General features: G+C 42.3%; 1 long non-coding RNA gene across 2 annotated transcripts, besides 4 other annotated features; it reads left to right on the top strand.

The window, feature by feature from the left end:
- Positions 1–1,200: an enhancer, noted in NCBI's record as "MED14-independent group 3 enhancer chr5:90609644-90610843 (GRCh37/hg19 assembly coordinates)". NCBI's record gives its function as "activates an origin of replication core promoter dependent on BRD2, BRD4, P300/CBP and CDK7 cofactors, and independent of MED14, by STARR-seq in HCT116 cells {active_cell/tissue: HCT116}" and the evidence as "EXISTENCE:reporter gene assay evidence [ECO:0000049][PMID:35650434]".
- Positions 326–1,113: an enhancer, noted in NCBI's record as "H3K27ac-H3K4me1 hESC enhancer chr5:90609731-90610518 (GRCh37/hg19 assembly coordinates)". NCBI's record gives its function as "activates a minimal SCP1, AML or CMV promoter by ChIP-STARR-seq in primed H9 embryonic stem cells {active_cell/tissue: H9 hESC(primed)}" and the evidence as "EXISTENCE:reporter gene assay evidence [ECO:0000049][PMID:30033119]".
- LUCAT1 (lung cancer associated transcript 1) lies at positions 625–12,041 on the top strand. Of its 2 annotated transcripts, NR_103548.1 has the most exons (5): positions 625–947; positions 1,250–1,389; positions 1,798–1,949; positions 11,056–11,154; positions 11,866–12,041. It is a non-coding gene; the product is annotated as a lung cancer associated transcript 1 (long non-coding RNA). The 2 variants fall into 2 exon arrangements; NR_103549.1 differs by lacking the exons at positions 1,798–1,949; positions 11,056–11,154; positions 11,866–12,041 and adding an exon at positions 3,995–4,113.
- Positions 2,552–3,751: an enhancer, noted in NCBI's record as "P300/CBP strongly-dependent group 1 enhancer chr5:90607093-90608292 (GRCh37/hg19 assembly coordinates)". NCBI's record gives its function as "activates an origin of replication core promoter dependent on BRD2, BRD4, P300/CBP, MED14 and CDK7 cofactors, with strong dependence on P300/CBP, by STARR-seq in HCT116 cells {active_cell/tissue: HCT116}" and the evidence as "EXISTENCE:reporter gene assay evidence [ECO:0000049][PMID:35650434]".
- Positions 2,645–3,189: an enhancer, noted in NCBI's record as "H3K27ac hESC enhancer chr5:90607655-90608199 (GRCh37/hg19 assembly coordinates)". NCBI's record gives its function as "activates a minimal SCP1, AML or CMV promoter by ChIP-STARR-seq in naive H9 embryonic stem cells {active_cell/tissue: H9 hESC(naive)}" and the evidence as "EXISTENCE:reporter gene assay evidence [ECO:0000049][PMID:30033119]".
- Positions 12,042–15,386: the final 3,345 nt, after the last annotated feature.

Here is a 15,386-nt window from a genome sequence, read left to right as displayed (position 1 = left end):
TGAGACTCAGTCTCAGTAACAAAATCTAGGCTGGGCGTGGTAGCTCACGCCTGTAATCCCAGCACTTTGGGAGGCTGAGGTGGGCGGATCACCTAAGGTCAGGAGTTCCGGAGCAGCCTGGGCAACATGGTGAAACCCCGTCTCTACTAAAAATGCAAAAATTAGCTGGGTGTGGTGGCATGCGCCTGTAGTCCCAGCTACCAGGGGAGGCTGAGGCAGGAGCATCACTTGAACCCGGGAGGTGGAGGTTGCGGTGAGCCAAGATCACACCACTGTACTCCAGCCTGGCTACAGAGTGAGACTCCATCTCAAAAAAGAAAAAAAAAAAAGAAAATCTATTGACAAGATTGACAAGAGTTCATTTTAAAGATGATTCTCTACACTTGGAGCATGGGATCTTGCCTGTCAGCAATTTTCAGCCGTCTCCAGATTAGTAACTGTGACTTGCCACCCTGGTTGATGGGCTGGCAGGAAGGAGTGTGTCATATCAGAGATTGCCACAGACACCCAGGGCAATGTGATTTGTCACTTAAAGAGGACGGCAGATCAAGAGCATCTCATCCTCCGGCTGCTGAGTCATCCTGCTCTGGCAGTTATTTAAACAGAAGGCTCCAGGAGACATACAATCAACACTCCACTCAGACAATGCCCAGACCTCCAGAAACCATGTGTCAAGCTCGGATTGCCTTAGACAGGTGCAATTTAAGAACAGCTTTCATCCTCTTTTCTCTCATATTGTCACACTATGTGTTCTGACTTCTGGCTCCTTTCCTCACAAGAAGCTCACCCAGCTGGAACTCTTATGGGACCTTGGCACCAGAGACCACAAATTCCTCTTTGAAGTTTTCTAACAGCAACAATGGTATTTCTGACTTGGCTTTCTTGTATTTCTCTCACGTTAACAAAATTGGTTCAGCATCTACCATGGGCTACATGCTGAGCTACAGGTAAGGTTTGGCTAAAGGATGAATAAGAACCCCTCCTTGTCTTCAGGAGTTTGTCTAGCAGAGGAGTCTGTCATGTAATCAGGAAACTCCAGTACACAACGTGATAGCTCTAAGACAGGTATATACAAGATGATGTTCTGGACCTTAACTGTTTGGGGAGTACTACTGCCTTTGTCTAAAAGCCATCACCCTTTTTATATGCCATTTGGGAGGAACTGGGGGGACGTGGGAGGCTTCAAAGGGTTATGGGAGGATGGACATTTTAAAAGGGCTTTTCTTTTCTTTTTTTTTTTTTGAGACAGAGTTTCGCTCTGTCGCCCAGGCTGGAGTGCAGTGGCGCGCGATCTCGGTTCACTGCAAGCTCCACCTCCCGGGTTCACGCCATTCTCCTGCCTCAGCCTCCTGAGTAGCTGGGACTACAGGCGCCCGCCACCACACCCAGGTAATTTTTTGCATTTTTAGTAGAGACGGGGTTTCACCGTGTTAGCCAGGATGGTCTCGTTCTCCTGACCTCATGATTCACCCGCCTTGGCCTTCCAAAATGCTGGGATTACAGGCGTGAGCCACTGTGCCCTGCCAAAGGCCTTTTCAAATCTAACGATGTACTCACATTTCCACCTGTCTGCCAGCCCTTGTCCAGTTTGACCTGGGCACTCACTGCTGCTCTGGTGGTGAGTACTGCTGATGGTTCTTTTCCCTGCCCATCCTTGAGGTGCTCGCTTCAATATGTCAAATGAGGACTCTCATTACATTTGGCTGTCATACATCAGCCACAACTGTCCTGCCCAGAAGAGCTGGCCTTGGCTTTAAAGCCTACATCCTGGCTGACCTTCTTTACTGCTTTATTAAGGAATCCAACTTGCTGTTTGCTATCACATGTGCTATACATGCTGTTGATGAAACTGCTAAAGGGGCTGAATGTGACTGACGTCTTTGGAAGGATGAGACTTAGCGTGCCTGTACAGTTGTGTCCAAATGCTGTCCTCATCTCCCAATGAAAAGGTATTGTAAATAAAGAGAAAGATCAGAGGCTTATTTTAAACACTAAATATGAGCTAGGAGCTGTCCTAGACACTATGTAAAAGTTTTATTTAGTTCTCACTGTAATGTTGGCCTTATGTTAGCATCCCATTTTTCAGACTGAGGAAATTATGGCTCAGAGAGGTTAAGAGACTTATTGAAGGTCACACAGCTCCACAAACTTTGGTGTAGATTGAACGTGTACATGGGTCTATGTGACTTTGAATCTTGCATTCTTTACATTATTGGAATATTTCACAGAAGGAAAATGACATATTAACATGGCAATAAGATTTCTGGTTCCAGTCTGGTTACTGGTCTTCCAAGAGTGTTATAGGATGTATAGCCTGAGCTCTGAAGCTTTGTTCTGAAGCATGCTATCAATATGAACAAATTGGTATGGAAGGAAGCCACAAATTATATACTAAAATCTAGTTCATCAGAGGAAAATATAGTTAAATACATTTACATTCCCAGAACTGTTAATATTGAAGAATAAAACACACAGTGGGAAAGAGACGAAGAGAAAATACGCCTGTTTTTATGACTTGTTGATATCTACAGGGTTTTTCCTTAAGCCTCACAACAATTTACAGCATTGCCAGCAGCATTCAGTACATTCAGAACAGGATAATTTCACCCGCAGCTGAACTAGGGCCATGCCTGGGACAGACAGAGAATGGCCTTCCAGCAGACATGCCAAGAAGCAAGCCAGGGTCAGTGAGTGAAGAGGAGGGCAGGCCCATTTGAAGCAACACAGTTTATGTAAGTGTGATCTAACTGCTTTCACTGGAAATGGGTCAGACTCCAGTTGAGAGAACCAGGGGCCTGAATGACCCCAGCAAAATCACTGTGGCAATTCTTTCAATCACCTCTGAGAATATGGCCCTGTGACGACATAATGACGTTTGGATTAATTCCAGTCGGCTGTGTTTTCCCCTCCTTTCTTGCCTCCCCGTAGTTGATTTGCCAAATTTTTTTTGTTTGCTTAAATACGCGGAACTAAACAGGATACATTATATGACAGTCTGTGATAAATTTACCACTGGGAATAGGGAAAAAGTATGGGATAAAGAAATAGGTATTTTTCGCCTCTCACAGCTGTGATTCAGTTCTGACTCAAAAGGAAGTGTGCCACCTACTGAATCACAGAAACCACTTCCTGTGGCTGTTTGGTTTATTCTGGAGGAGCATCAGGCCAAGTGCTGCCCTGCCCTGACCCTGACTGGCTCTTCAGAGCCAAGGCATTCACAGCTTGAGGTGGTTTGGCCTCAGACTCTTGAGAACATTGCATATTAAATTACAAGTGTTTCGTTTCCTAGCAAGGAGTCTTTAGCAACATGAAAACGAACGTGTGTTATTTGCAAACCAAGTATATCATTACTGAACCTGAATATCCTTACTTTTTCATAAGGTACGTATTCCGGATGACCACTCTTAAGATCTGAATGTACACTGGTTCTGTTTTTCCTGAGGGGAACTTGGGCAGTCTGCAGGGTGGCATTTACCAGCTGAGGGACTTCAAGAGCACCCTTTAATCAGTGTGGCAGCACTCAACTTGTATTCACTCACTCAGAGTATTTTTGAGCATGTACTTATTGCCATGTGCTGTGCTAGGTAGGGGTAGAGGGTACAGTGGTGAACAAGACCCCACAGCTCCTGACCTCATGGCTCATGTGTTCTACACCATAAGGGAATCAAGCTGTGTCTCCCGGGGCAGGGGCCTTCCTCTGTTCACCATGCAGCCCCAGCATCTAGCACCTGGCGTTGCATAAAGGAGGCTCTAAATCAAGCTTGTCCAACCCAAGGCCCACGGGCCACATGTGGCCCAGGATGGCTTTGAATGCAGCCAAACACAAATTTGTAAACTTTCTTAAAACATTATAAGATTTGTGTGTATGTGTTTTAGTCCATCAGCTATTGTTAGTGTTCATGTATTTTATGTGTGGCCCAAGACAATTCTTCTATGTGGCCCAAGGAAACCAAAGATTGAACACTCCTGCTCTAAATACTTGTTTGTTGAATAGATACATGAAAAGAAAGAAGGAGAGAAGGAAGAAAGGAGGGCGGAAGGAAAGGAAGAAGGGAGAGAAGAAGAGAAGAAAGAAGCAGAGAAAGGAAGAGAAAAGAAATTACGGCCAGTGCGGTGGCTCACGCCTGTAATCCTAGCACTTTGGGAGGCCTAAGCGGGCTGATCACCTGAGGTCAGGAGTTCGTAAGCCAGCCTGGCCAACATGGTGAAACCCTATCTCTACTAAAAATACAAAAATCAGCAGGGCATGGTGGTGCGTGCCTGTAATCCCAGCTACCTGGGAGGCTGAGGTAGGAGAATCGCTGGAACCCGAGAGGCGGAGGCTGCAGTGAGTTGAGATCATGTCACTGCACTCCAGGCTGGGCAACAGAGTGAGACTCTGTCTCAGAAAAAAAAAAAAAGAAAGAAAGAAAGAAAGAAAGTTACCATTAGTTTTTTGTTGTATTTGCAAGCAAAGACAAAAGCACCAAGGTACTTGTTTCCTTCTGTAATTAGAGTTTCAAATAGACTAAAAGTTTCTGCTCTTAGGTGGGTCTAGAGACTCTCCAGTACCTCAGGACCTCAGGACACATGGGGTCTCTTGGTTGTTTTCTTTTCATTGTTGTTGTTTATTTTATTTTTGTTTTTATTTTTTAACTTTAAAACAATTTTTTGTAGATGAATATGCTTACATATGTTTGGGGGTTTTTTTGAGACAGGGTCTTGCTCTGTTGCCCAGGCTGGAGAGCGGTGGTTTAACCACAGCTCACTGCAGCCTCGACCTCCCAAGGTAGGGACTGCAGGTGTGTACACTGGGGTGCACCACCACACCCAGCTAATTTTTAAATTTTTTTTTGTAGATATTGTCTCACTCTGTTGGCCAGACTGGTCTTGAAATCCTGGGCTCGAGCAATTCTCCTGCCTCGGCCTCGTAACGCGTTAGGATTACAAGCGTGAACACCGCACCTGGCCAGCATGTGGTCTCTTAACCAGAGGAGGCCTCTTCTGAACTAGGTAGAGGTCCTGAGAATTGATTCTGAGAGTAAAAGGCTCTTTGTTCTCCTCAGAGTAGATTAGAATCCCTAATGATAGAGCATCTATTATTCCTCTAGTGGTCCATGCCCAACAGATTCATCCAAGAATAGATGAAGATCTTTGTAATGTTGTGCAAGTAATCTAATCACCCCACAGAAGAGCTGTGACTTAAATTATCCCAGAGTCGGCCCACCTGTTTTCATAAAGATCAATGTAACTTGTAAATTTCTTCAGTTCTCCTCACCTATCATCATTTGACTAACAAAACCCAGAAAACTAGGCTAGTTATGGTGGCCTATGCATATAATCCCAACTCTTTGAGAGGCCAGGGTGGGTGGATTGCTTGAGTCCAGGAATTCGAGACCAGCCTGGGCAACAAAGGGAGACCCTGCCTATATCCCAGCTATGCAGGAGGCGAGGCCAGAGGATTGCCTGAGCCTCAGAGGTTGAGGCTGTAGTGAGCCATGATTGCCCCACTACACTCCAGCCTGGATGACAGAGTGAGACCCTGCCTTAAAAATAATAATAATAGTAATAATATTTCATAAAGATACAGGAAACTAGATTATAATTGACATTTTCAAAGTGAAATACTGTCTAGAATGGTGCTTGGCCAACAGTAAGCTTTTTGTAAGTGGAAGTCATTACTACTACTATTTCTTTCATTATTATTACCATTACTACTTTTTTTTACAAAAAAAAAACCCTGGACAACACACTGAAACCATTACTACTTCTACTACTATAACTTAGGTTGCACCTGATAGAGCCAGCAATTTTTCCAAGGTATGACAATGGCCATATGTTTAATGATATAATTCTATGGCTCAGTGTATCTCAGCCTTTTTAAACCCTGCTCTTCTTTTGACAATTGTAAAAATCTTAAACTGACCTCCAGTTGAAATCCTCTGTCAAGAAGATATTGTCGGCCAGGGGCGGTGGCTCACACCTGTAATCCCAGCACTTTTGGAGGCCGAGGTGGGAGGATCACTTGAGGTTAGGAGTTCAAGACCAGCCTGGCCAACATAGTGAAACCCCATCTCTACTAAAAATACAAAAATTAGGCAGGCATGGTGGTGTGTGCCTGTAATCCCAGCTACTCAGGAGGCTGAGGTAGGAGAATTGCTTGAACCTGGCAGGGCAGAGGTTGCAGCAAGCCGAGATCACGCCACTGCTCTCCAGCCTGGGTGAGACTGTCTCAAAAAAAAAAAAAAAAAAGAAAGAAAGTAAGAAAAAGAAGAAATCCCAATCTCTTCTTTTATGTGGATTCTTCCTCACTTGAATAATACTTTTCTTCCCCAGTATTCTCCATATTATCCCAGAGTCAGCCCCTCTGTTTTTGTAAAGATCTACGTAACCTCCTCTAAGTTTCCCAGTTCTCCTCACCTATCATATCATTTGGCTCAACAAAGGGCAGGAAGCTAGATTCTAATTGATATTTTGAGGCCGGGAGCAGTGGCTCATGCCTGTAATCACAGCACTTTGGGAGGCTGAGGCGGGCAGATCACTGGAGGTCAGGAGTTCGAGACCAGCCTGGCCAATATGGTGAAACCTCGTCTCTACTAAAAATACAAAAAATTAGCCAGGCTTGGTGGCTTGTACCTGTAATCCCAGCTACTCAGGAGGCTGAGGCAGGAGAATAGCTTAAACCTGGGAGGAAGAGGTTGCAGTGAGCCGAGATTGCTCAATTGCACCCCAGCCTGGGTGACAGAGCAAAACTCCATCTCAAAAACAAACAAACGAACAAACCTGATATTTTCAAAATTGAGGCAATTATAACAGCTATTTAGCCAAGCATTATGATAGCAATAATAGCAAGAAAATAAATTAGTTAACAAATGAGTCTCAGAAGCCCAATGATTTTTATTTTATTTTTATTTTTTGAACTTTTATTTTAGAATCAGGGGATACATGTGCAGGTTTGTTACCCGGGTATATTGCATGATGCTGAGTTTTGGAGTATGCATGAATCCAACCTGTCATCCAGGTAGTGAGTATAGTACCCAACAGATAGTTTTTTTAACATTTACTTCACTCCCTTCCCCAATCTTGTATTCCCCTGTGTCTACTGTTCCCATTTTTATGACTGTGCCAACAATAATTTTTTTTCTTTTTTCTTTAAATAGAGATGGGGGTCTCTATTTAAAGAGCCTCCCAAAGTGCTAGGATTACAGGTGTGATCCATTGCACCTGGCCCATGCCAACAATATTTGAAACCCTTATCTGCGTGTACAAGTTTGCTACTGGTTTTGTTTTGCTCATTAATACATCCCAAGCATCTATACCTGGCTTGTAGTACCAGCATGTAGTAGGTGCTTAATAAATATTTATTGAATAAATAAATTAGTTTGACATTAGTTTAACATCTCAAGTAAAACAAAATACCATTCAATTAATTCTCTTCTTCTACTTTTTTCTTTTAAGAGAGACAAATAGTCACACATACATCAGCAGGAGAGGATACAATTTCCTGTGTTTAAGTTTTTATGAGTTACTTTAGTTCAAATGTCACAGAAAATTATATTGAACTCTTGACCAATCTATCTATTTTTTCCATTGGAGTATTGACCCAAATAAGAAATAGCATAAAGGAAAAATTATTTTTTGGCAGAAAAATATTCTCTCTAAATTCTTGTGTGTTTTGTTTTGATTTTTTCCTTAGTGACTGGAGGCCAGTTTCAATCCACTGAAGCACAGATTCCAAATTTTCAATCTGGTTTTCTTGAGTAGTGACTGAGTGCCAAAAATGAAGCAATGACACAACATCACCATCAAGACACTCCCCAGCACGCACACACATGCCAGAGTCCAACACCAAGATACTCCCCAGCACGCACACACACGCCAGAGTCCAGGCCATATTCGGGTGGCTTGCAAGCTTCTTCCCCCCAAGTATTTACTCTCAAAATAATGGTTTTTGTTTTGTTTTGGTTTGGTTTGGTTTGTTTTTTTCCAAATACATTTCTTCCCTATATCTTTAACCAATTCTCATAAAATTTTGTCTAATACACTGGTCAGTGTATTCCAGACCCTAAAAGATAACATAATGAAACTATCTATGACTAAAAGGTAATCAGGATCTTCTACTTATCCTTTTTTCCTCCCTCTTAAACTTTAATTTTGATACATTTGGGAGTGAAATGATGACAATAAATGCAAAGTAATTATTGAAGAAACAGTAATTTTGTATTAGCTTACTGAAAAAAAAAAAAAAGATAACCAAATATATTTTGGCAGCCCCAAACGAGTCACATGTGAAATGCAGTGGGAGAGCAGTGTCCTGAAGGAAAAGGTGGCCTGCTGGACAGCCAAGAGAACAAACATCCACTGCAAGTAATATGAGCTCTAAGTTTGGACTAGGCCTATGTCTGCTCTGAGACTTGGGGCAATTCACTTAATCAGAGCCTTAATCAGCTACGGACTAGCAATATCCATACCCGCTACTTATTTTGTAAATCTCCTTTCTAAAGTTAACTCTATTTATTGTTCCATAATCCCATAAATTCTAGAATCTTTTCCTGTTATAGCCAAGTTGTCTATCATTGACAGAGATATTCACCTGGTTGTTTTGGCTTCTCTAATCCTCCTGGTGAGAACACCTCCAAGGGAGCTTTCAGTGGCATTTAAGGTCACTTGTGCTCTTGGTCCTAGAAACTGCCTTGATAGTGGTTTTAGCTCACATGAGGTAAGTCTTTATTATATGCCCAACCTCTTTATGCATTACTTCATTTAATTGTATACTAATCCTTTGTCATAGGTTATCAGAGTGTTTGATTATAAGTTACAGGAAGAAAAAAAAAAACAAACTCCAATTGACTAAAACAATGGGGCATTTTTTGACTCACATAACAGAGAGTCTAGAGAGAAGGCACCTTCAGGTTTGGCTGATGAATCCTGTATCTCTGCCTTGTCTCCAGGCCCCCAGGTTCTGCCTCTGTCCTGACATCCAGTGTTGGATTCCTCTTCACATCAACTCCTCTCTGTAGGTTGGGCCATCAGACCCTACCTCCTTATTTATGTTGAGCAAAGGAGAGAGAATGCCTCTACAAACAATGAAAAAAGTGAAAAAAAAAATCTTTCTCCTCCTTATAACTTTAGTTAGCTTAACTTTAGTCAGTTGCTTAGCTACTAAACAGTAGCTATTGGGAGGTGGGAAGGAATACTATTGTGTAATCAACTAAGGCTCATACAGAGGATTAGGGTTATCTGAATTGATTTGAATTAATTAGAATTTACTCTCAGAGCTGTGGCAATTCCTTGAACCACACTGATTGCTATAAAGTGGAAGAGGAATAGATTGAATTTTGGGGAGTCAACTACAATGTGTACTACAGGTAAATACTATGAATTTCCAATTCACAGATGAGAAAACTGAGGCATGTGGTGGGAGGGAGGTTATGTAATTTGCCCAGTGTCACAGTTGAACCTAGGCAAAGGCCTATCTCCAGGTCTAAACAATTCAGTGGCCTCCTGTGTACATTTCTGTCTCTCCTTTTTTATCCACTGTGTCACCGAGGCTGGATTGCAGTGGCTCGATCATGGAGATCATGGCTTTCTGTAGCCTTGAACTCCTGGGCTCAAGTGATCCTCCTGCCTCAGCTTCCTGAGTGGCTGGGACTACAGGCTTGACAACACACCCGGCTATCCCGTGTATATTTCTTGAGGGCTTATGATATATAAGAGAAACTCCAAAATAAGAGGACGGTGTGCTAAGGGGAAGACCAAAGCACTATCAAGAGGTAGATTCAATCGTACCCCTTCTATTTACTAGTTGTGTGACTCTTTTGAAAATGAGAATAATAGGCCAGGCTCGGTGGCTCCTGCCTGTAATCCCAGCACTTTGGGAGGCTGAGGCAGGTAGATCACCTGAGGTTAGAAGTTCAAGACCAGCCTAGCCAACATGGCAAAACCCCATCTCTATTAAAAATACAAAAATTAGCCGGGAATGGCAGCATGTGCCTGTAGTTCCGGCTACTCAGGAGGCTGAGGCAGGAGAATCACTTGAACCCAGGAGGCAGAGGTTGCAGTGAGCCGAGATTGCGCTACTGCACTTCAGCCTGGGTGACAGCGAGACTCCATCTCAAAAAAAAAAAAAAAGGAAGAAAAGAAAAGAAAATGGGAATAATAAAACTTACTTACTGGAGCAGTAGCAAAGATTAAAATTTAGACCATGCAGAAGAATGTTTTTCAAAATGACATGACCTGGTAATAGGATAGAAATGCAAATTCCTGTTACTGCACCAGACCCACCAAATAAGAAACTCTGGGGATGGGACCCAGGACTAAGTACTTTAATAAGCACTCCAGGTGATTCTAATGATTGTTAAAGTTTGAGAACCACTGGTCTAACACATTGCCTGGTACATAAGCTCTTATTTTGTTGTTATTGTTCTAAGGACAATGTGTGTATTGACTTCTATTTCCAGGAGTTCATGACTTGGAGAACTAGGGAAAGGAAGACAAAAATTCTTTAATGCAGAACGATACTGATTGATAAATACCTGAATATAATACAGGTTAAATGTGCTTTGAAGATTTATAAAAGGTTGAATTTATTTCCAGCAAGATGACTCTCAGAAGCCTTTATAGATTAGAGAAGAAATGGAAAGGGGTAAAAATAATTAGGAACTATAAAGCAGGGCAGACAAGTTTTCAATGGTTACTGCCAATGTGTATACAGAAAGTTAGCTTGGCCAGGCAAAGTGGCTCATGCTTGTAATATCAGCACTTTGGGAGGCCAAGGCGGGCAGGTCACCTGAGATCAGGAGTTTGAGACCAGCCTGACCAACATGGTGAAACTCTATCTCTACTAAAAATACACAATTAGCCCAGCATGGTAGAGCATGCCTGTAATCCCAGCTACTCAGGAGGCTGAGGCAGGAGAATCGCTTGTACTTGGGAGGCAAAGGCTGCAGTGAGCTGAGATCGTGCCATTGCACTCCATCCTGGGAAACAAGGGTGAAACTCCGTCTCCAGAAAAAAAAAAGTTACCTTGAAATATATCAATACAAACAAATAAATTAGATATTTCATATTGTACAGGAACAAAACCCATCAGAAGATGTCAGAAGATAAGGATTTTTGTCCTGATGCTACACTTACCAGCTGTCCCTCAGTGTTCTACTTCTTAAAAAAAGAGAGGTTGGTCCTGATCCCTGGTTCTTAACCAGGGGAAAATGAAGTGGGGCCAGGGCATGTGCAGACTTAAAAATTACACAGGGGAATGTAGGCACGATCTGTTTAAGAAATACTGGACTAAATGGTCTCTAATCTGTGATTGTAGATTAAAGAATAATCTACAATCTACACCGTGTTGGCCAGGCACGGTGGCTCACACCTGTAATTCCAGCACTTTGGGAGGCTGAGGTGTGTGGATCACATGAGGTCAGGAGTTCGAGACCAGCCTCACCAATGTGGCAAAACCCCCTCTCTACTAAAAATACGGAAAATTAGCTGGGTGTGGTGGTGCATGTCTGTAGTCCCAGCTACTCGGGAGGCTAAGGCATGAGAATTGCTTGAACCTGGGAGGTGGAGGTTGCAGTGAGCCAAAATCACGCCACTGCACTCCAGCCTGGGTGACAGAGTGAGACTCTGTCTCAAAAAAAAAGAAAAAATAAATAATCAAATGTAAAGTTAGCACATAAAGGAGGCATGTACATATTATTAAAATCTATATGACTACCTCTCCTTTTTCATTTTTGGCTCAATATCTGTATCTGAACACCTAATTAATGAAAGGAAAACATTTGTAATATGTAGCAACTAAAATGTCACCTTCTCTGTGGGGATCACAAAGTCCTTGGCAATCACTTCCATACCAGACAAGTGAGTATTGTCCTTCTCCTTTTCCAGATGGATAAACAGAGGCAACCCGAGGATAAAGGCCTTGCTCAGTGTCACACATTTCAGTCACTAAATAAGACACAATGGATGCCAGTATTCTCATCCCCTCACAAATAAAGAGCCTTCAAGCTCTTGCAGTCAACAAGAACTTTTGGAATGATTTCACTGCCTGAAAAGGCAGATACATAGGTGACACCCACAAATAGGAAGAAAATCAACCTGAACCTGAGTGTGTGGGCTCACTGACTCTAAGCAGTAGAGACAGAAGAAAAAGTTTTAGCAAAGAAGGGTTCTGAAAGAAAATAAATATAGCTCGTTATCAAGTGCTGTTTTTACACAGTAAAACATGGGCAAAATTACTCTTCTTTAAGTAGTAATTCTTATCTCTTGATTAAGTCACCTACTCATTCATTTAATAAATACATACTGATTGTTTTCTATGTGTTGAGCACTCATCTCTGTATTGGAAATATAATAATGACCAAAGTTGACAATAGTAATAACAATAATAGCTAATATAGCAGGCACTAATAATTATTTGTTGAGTAATATGTCAAAATTCAGTGTGAACAGCATTCTATTTGGGGCTGCATCCACTGACTATAACACAGCTAATCTATCTGAAATGTTCCAGCTTTGGGCCTCTCTAACAGAAGAAGCTGTTGTTGGGCCTGCCTCTAGTTGGCGATGCATCCACCAATGAGAATGAATTTATGATCGACCACTCTTCCTGTAAAGGCCGCTGGAACTGACAGCATTGTGATTTTCTTTTACTGTTAGTTTTAAATTACTAGAACCAACTCAATTACTAGAACGAACTTTACTTCTTTGTTTCCTACTTATCAAAACAGTAAAAACAACAAGTAAAAGAAATGCCATCTTAATATTGTTTTGATGACAAAACAGTATTCCTTTTAGTTGTGCTTCAAATGGAATAAGATGCAAACAGGCTTGGTATGGTGGCTCACCCCTGTAATCCCAGCCCTTTGGGAGGCCAAGGTGGAAGGATTGCTTGAGGCCATGAGTTTGAGACCAGCCTGCGCAACATAGCAAGACCGTGTCTCTACAAAAAATAAAAAATTAGCTGAGTGTAGTGGTGTGTGCTTGTGGTCCCAGCTACTTTTGAGGCTGAGGAGGGAGAATCTCTTGAGCCCAGAAGGTCGAAGTTGCAGTGAGCCGTGATCGTGCCATTGCTCTCCAGCTTGGACAACAAAGCAAGACCCTATGTCAAAAAATAAATAAATAAAAGACATAAACATATCTGAGATTAACTTTCAGTGGTAAATTTGTTCCATATATGATTTTTAAGGTTAAATGCTTTGGAAGCTTTAAAAACCATTTCAGCCCTTTTAAATGCCAACTTACACTGATGATGCTCTCAGATGTTAGGAAATCTTTTGAGCAGAAAATGGAAGTGGGGGTGTTGAGGCAGGGAGGAGAGTGATGCAATATTCCTTAGTGTCATCCTGTGATTTCACAATTTGTTTTTCAATCTGTTTGGACTTTCAAAAGGGAAGACTCTCATATGTCAACAAGCCCATGAACTGAAGCTTAAAACACTGGAAACAACAACTGTAGAGTTTCAAGTATATGTACATTTATGTATTCATGTTCCTTGATGGGAATGCTGGCTGGTGTGAATGTTCAATCTCCTGAGAAATGTAAATTTTTCTCTGACAGATTTATTAGCTTGCTGTATCTGAGCACATGAGCAAAAACAATGCCTAATAAGAAAACTTTCTCTCTCCTTCAAAGTCAAACTTGGGAGAAATGAAGGGAAATCGAGTTTTCTTTGCTTGACAGTGTTCAACATTCTTGTAGTCAGTGTGCTCATGAAGATTGCAAACTTTTTTTTTTTTTTAGAGCAGCTAGGACTACAGGCGCGCACCACCACACCCAGCTAATTTGTGTATTTTTAGTAGAGATGGGGTTTTAACTATGTTGGCCAAGCTTGTCTCAAACTCCTGACCTCAAGTGATCCATTCGACAGCTCTTTCTTTTTTTTTTTTTTTTTTGAGACAAAGTCTCGCTCTGTCACCCAGGCTGGAGTGCAGTGGTATGATCTCAGCTCACTGCAACCTCCGCCTCCTGGGTTCAAGCAATTCTCATGCCTTAGCCTCCCGAATAGCTGGGACTACAGGTGTGTGCCACCACGCCCAGCTAATTTTTGTATTTTTAGTAGAGACAGGGTTTCATCATGTTGTCCAGGCTGGTCTCAAACTCCTGACCTCAAGTGGTCCGCCCGCCTCGGCCTCCCAAAGTGCTGGGATTACAGGTGTGAGCCACCACGCCTGGCCATCTGGCAGTTCTTTATAGCAGTACGAAAATGGACTAATACACCCCATCTCTCCCAAAATAAAAAAAGTAGATAGGTGTGGTGGCACGCACCTGTAGTTTCAGCTGCTCAAGAGGCTGAGGTGGGGGGATAGCTTGATCCGGGCAGGCAGAAGTTGCAGTGAGCTGAGATTGGACCACTGCACTCCAACCTGGGTAACAGAACAACAACCCATCTCAAAAAAAAAAAAAAATAACTGGGGATTAGATTGAAAAGATATAAAAATAAAGCTATTAATCTCTTACAGTCCCAGATATAAAGTATATGCTCTCATGTTATGAAAAGGTCAATATAATTATGAATAAGAAAAAAGATTATTGTTCTTTTATGTTCACCAGTCTGAGCACCTATGATGAGCACCTATGAGAATCTCTGCTGGTACTTACCAGTTAGCCCACTCACTGTCTCCAAGATTCTGTATGTTTTCCACCCTCTGTTGAGAGCATTTCTGGTACAGTGTACATAGTTAAGTAATAATAGTCAAGGAGAAAAGAAAATAAAGTTCTGACGTGGCATTAAGAATAGCAGCAATAAGACCAGGCGTGGTGGCTCATGCCTGTAATCCCAGCATTTTGGGAGGTCGAGGTGGGTGGATTGCCTGAGGTCAGGAGTTCAAGATCAGCCTGGTCAACATGGTGAAACCCCATCTCTACTAAAAATACAAAAATTAGCTGGGTATGGTGGCGCATGCCTGTAGTCCCAGCTACTCAGGAGGCTGAGGCAGGAGAATTGCTTGAACCTGGGAGGCCGAAGTTGCAGTGAGCCAAGATTTTGCCACTGCATTCCAGCCTGGGCAACAGAGTGAGACTCCTTCTCAAAAAAAAAAAAAAAAGAAAAGAAAAGAAAAGAAGAAGAATAGCAGCAATAAAATAGAGGAAATGACTGGCTCTGAGGCAGATTGTTTAAATAAAATATGTGTGGTGGCTCACTCCTGAATCCCAGCACTTTGGGAGGCCAAGGTGGGTAGATCACTTGAGGCCAGGAGTTCAAGACCAGCCTGGCCAACATGGCAAAACCCTGTCTCTGCTAAAAATACAAAAATTATCTGGGCATAGTGGCATGTGCCTATAATCCCAGTTACTCGGGAGGCTGAGGCAGGAGAATCACTTGAACCAGAAAGGTGGAGGTTGCAGTGAGCCGAGATTGTGGCACTACACTCCAGCCTGGGCAACAGAGCAAGACTCTTTCCCAAAAA

Source organism: Homo sapiens, chromosome 5 (genome assembly GCF_000001405.40).
Source record: "Homo sapiens chromosome 5, GRCh38.p14 Primary Assembly".
Taxonomy (NCBI): Eukaryota; Metazoa; Chordata; class Mammalia; order Primates; family Hominidae; genus Homo; species Homo sapiens.
Note: the sequence above shows the minus strand (reverse complement) of the source record. Positions and strands in the feature narration are given on the sequence as shown.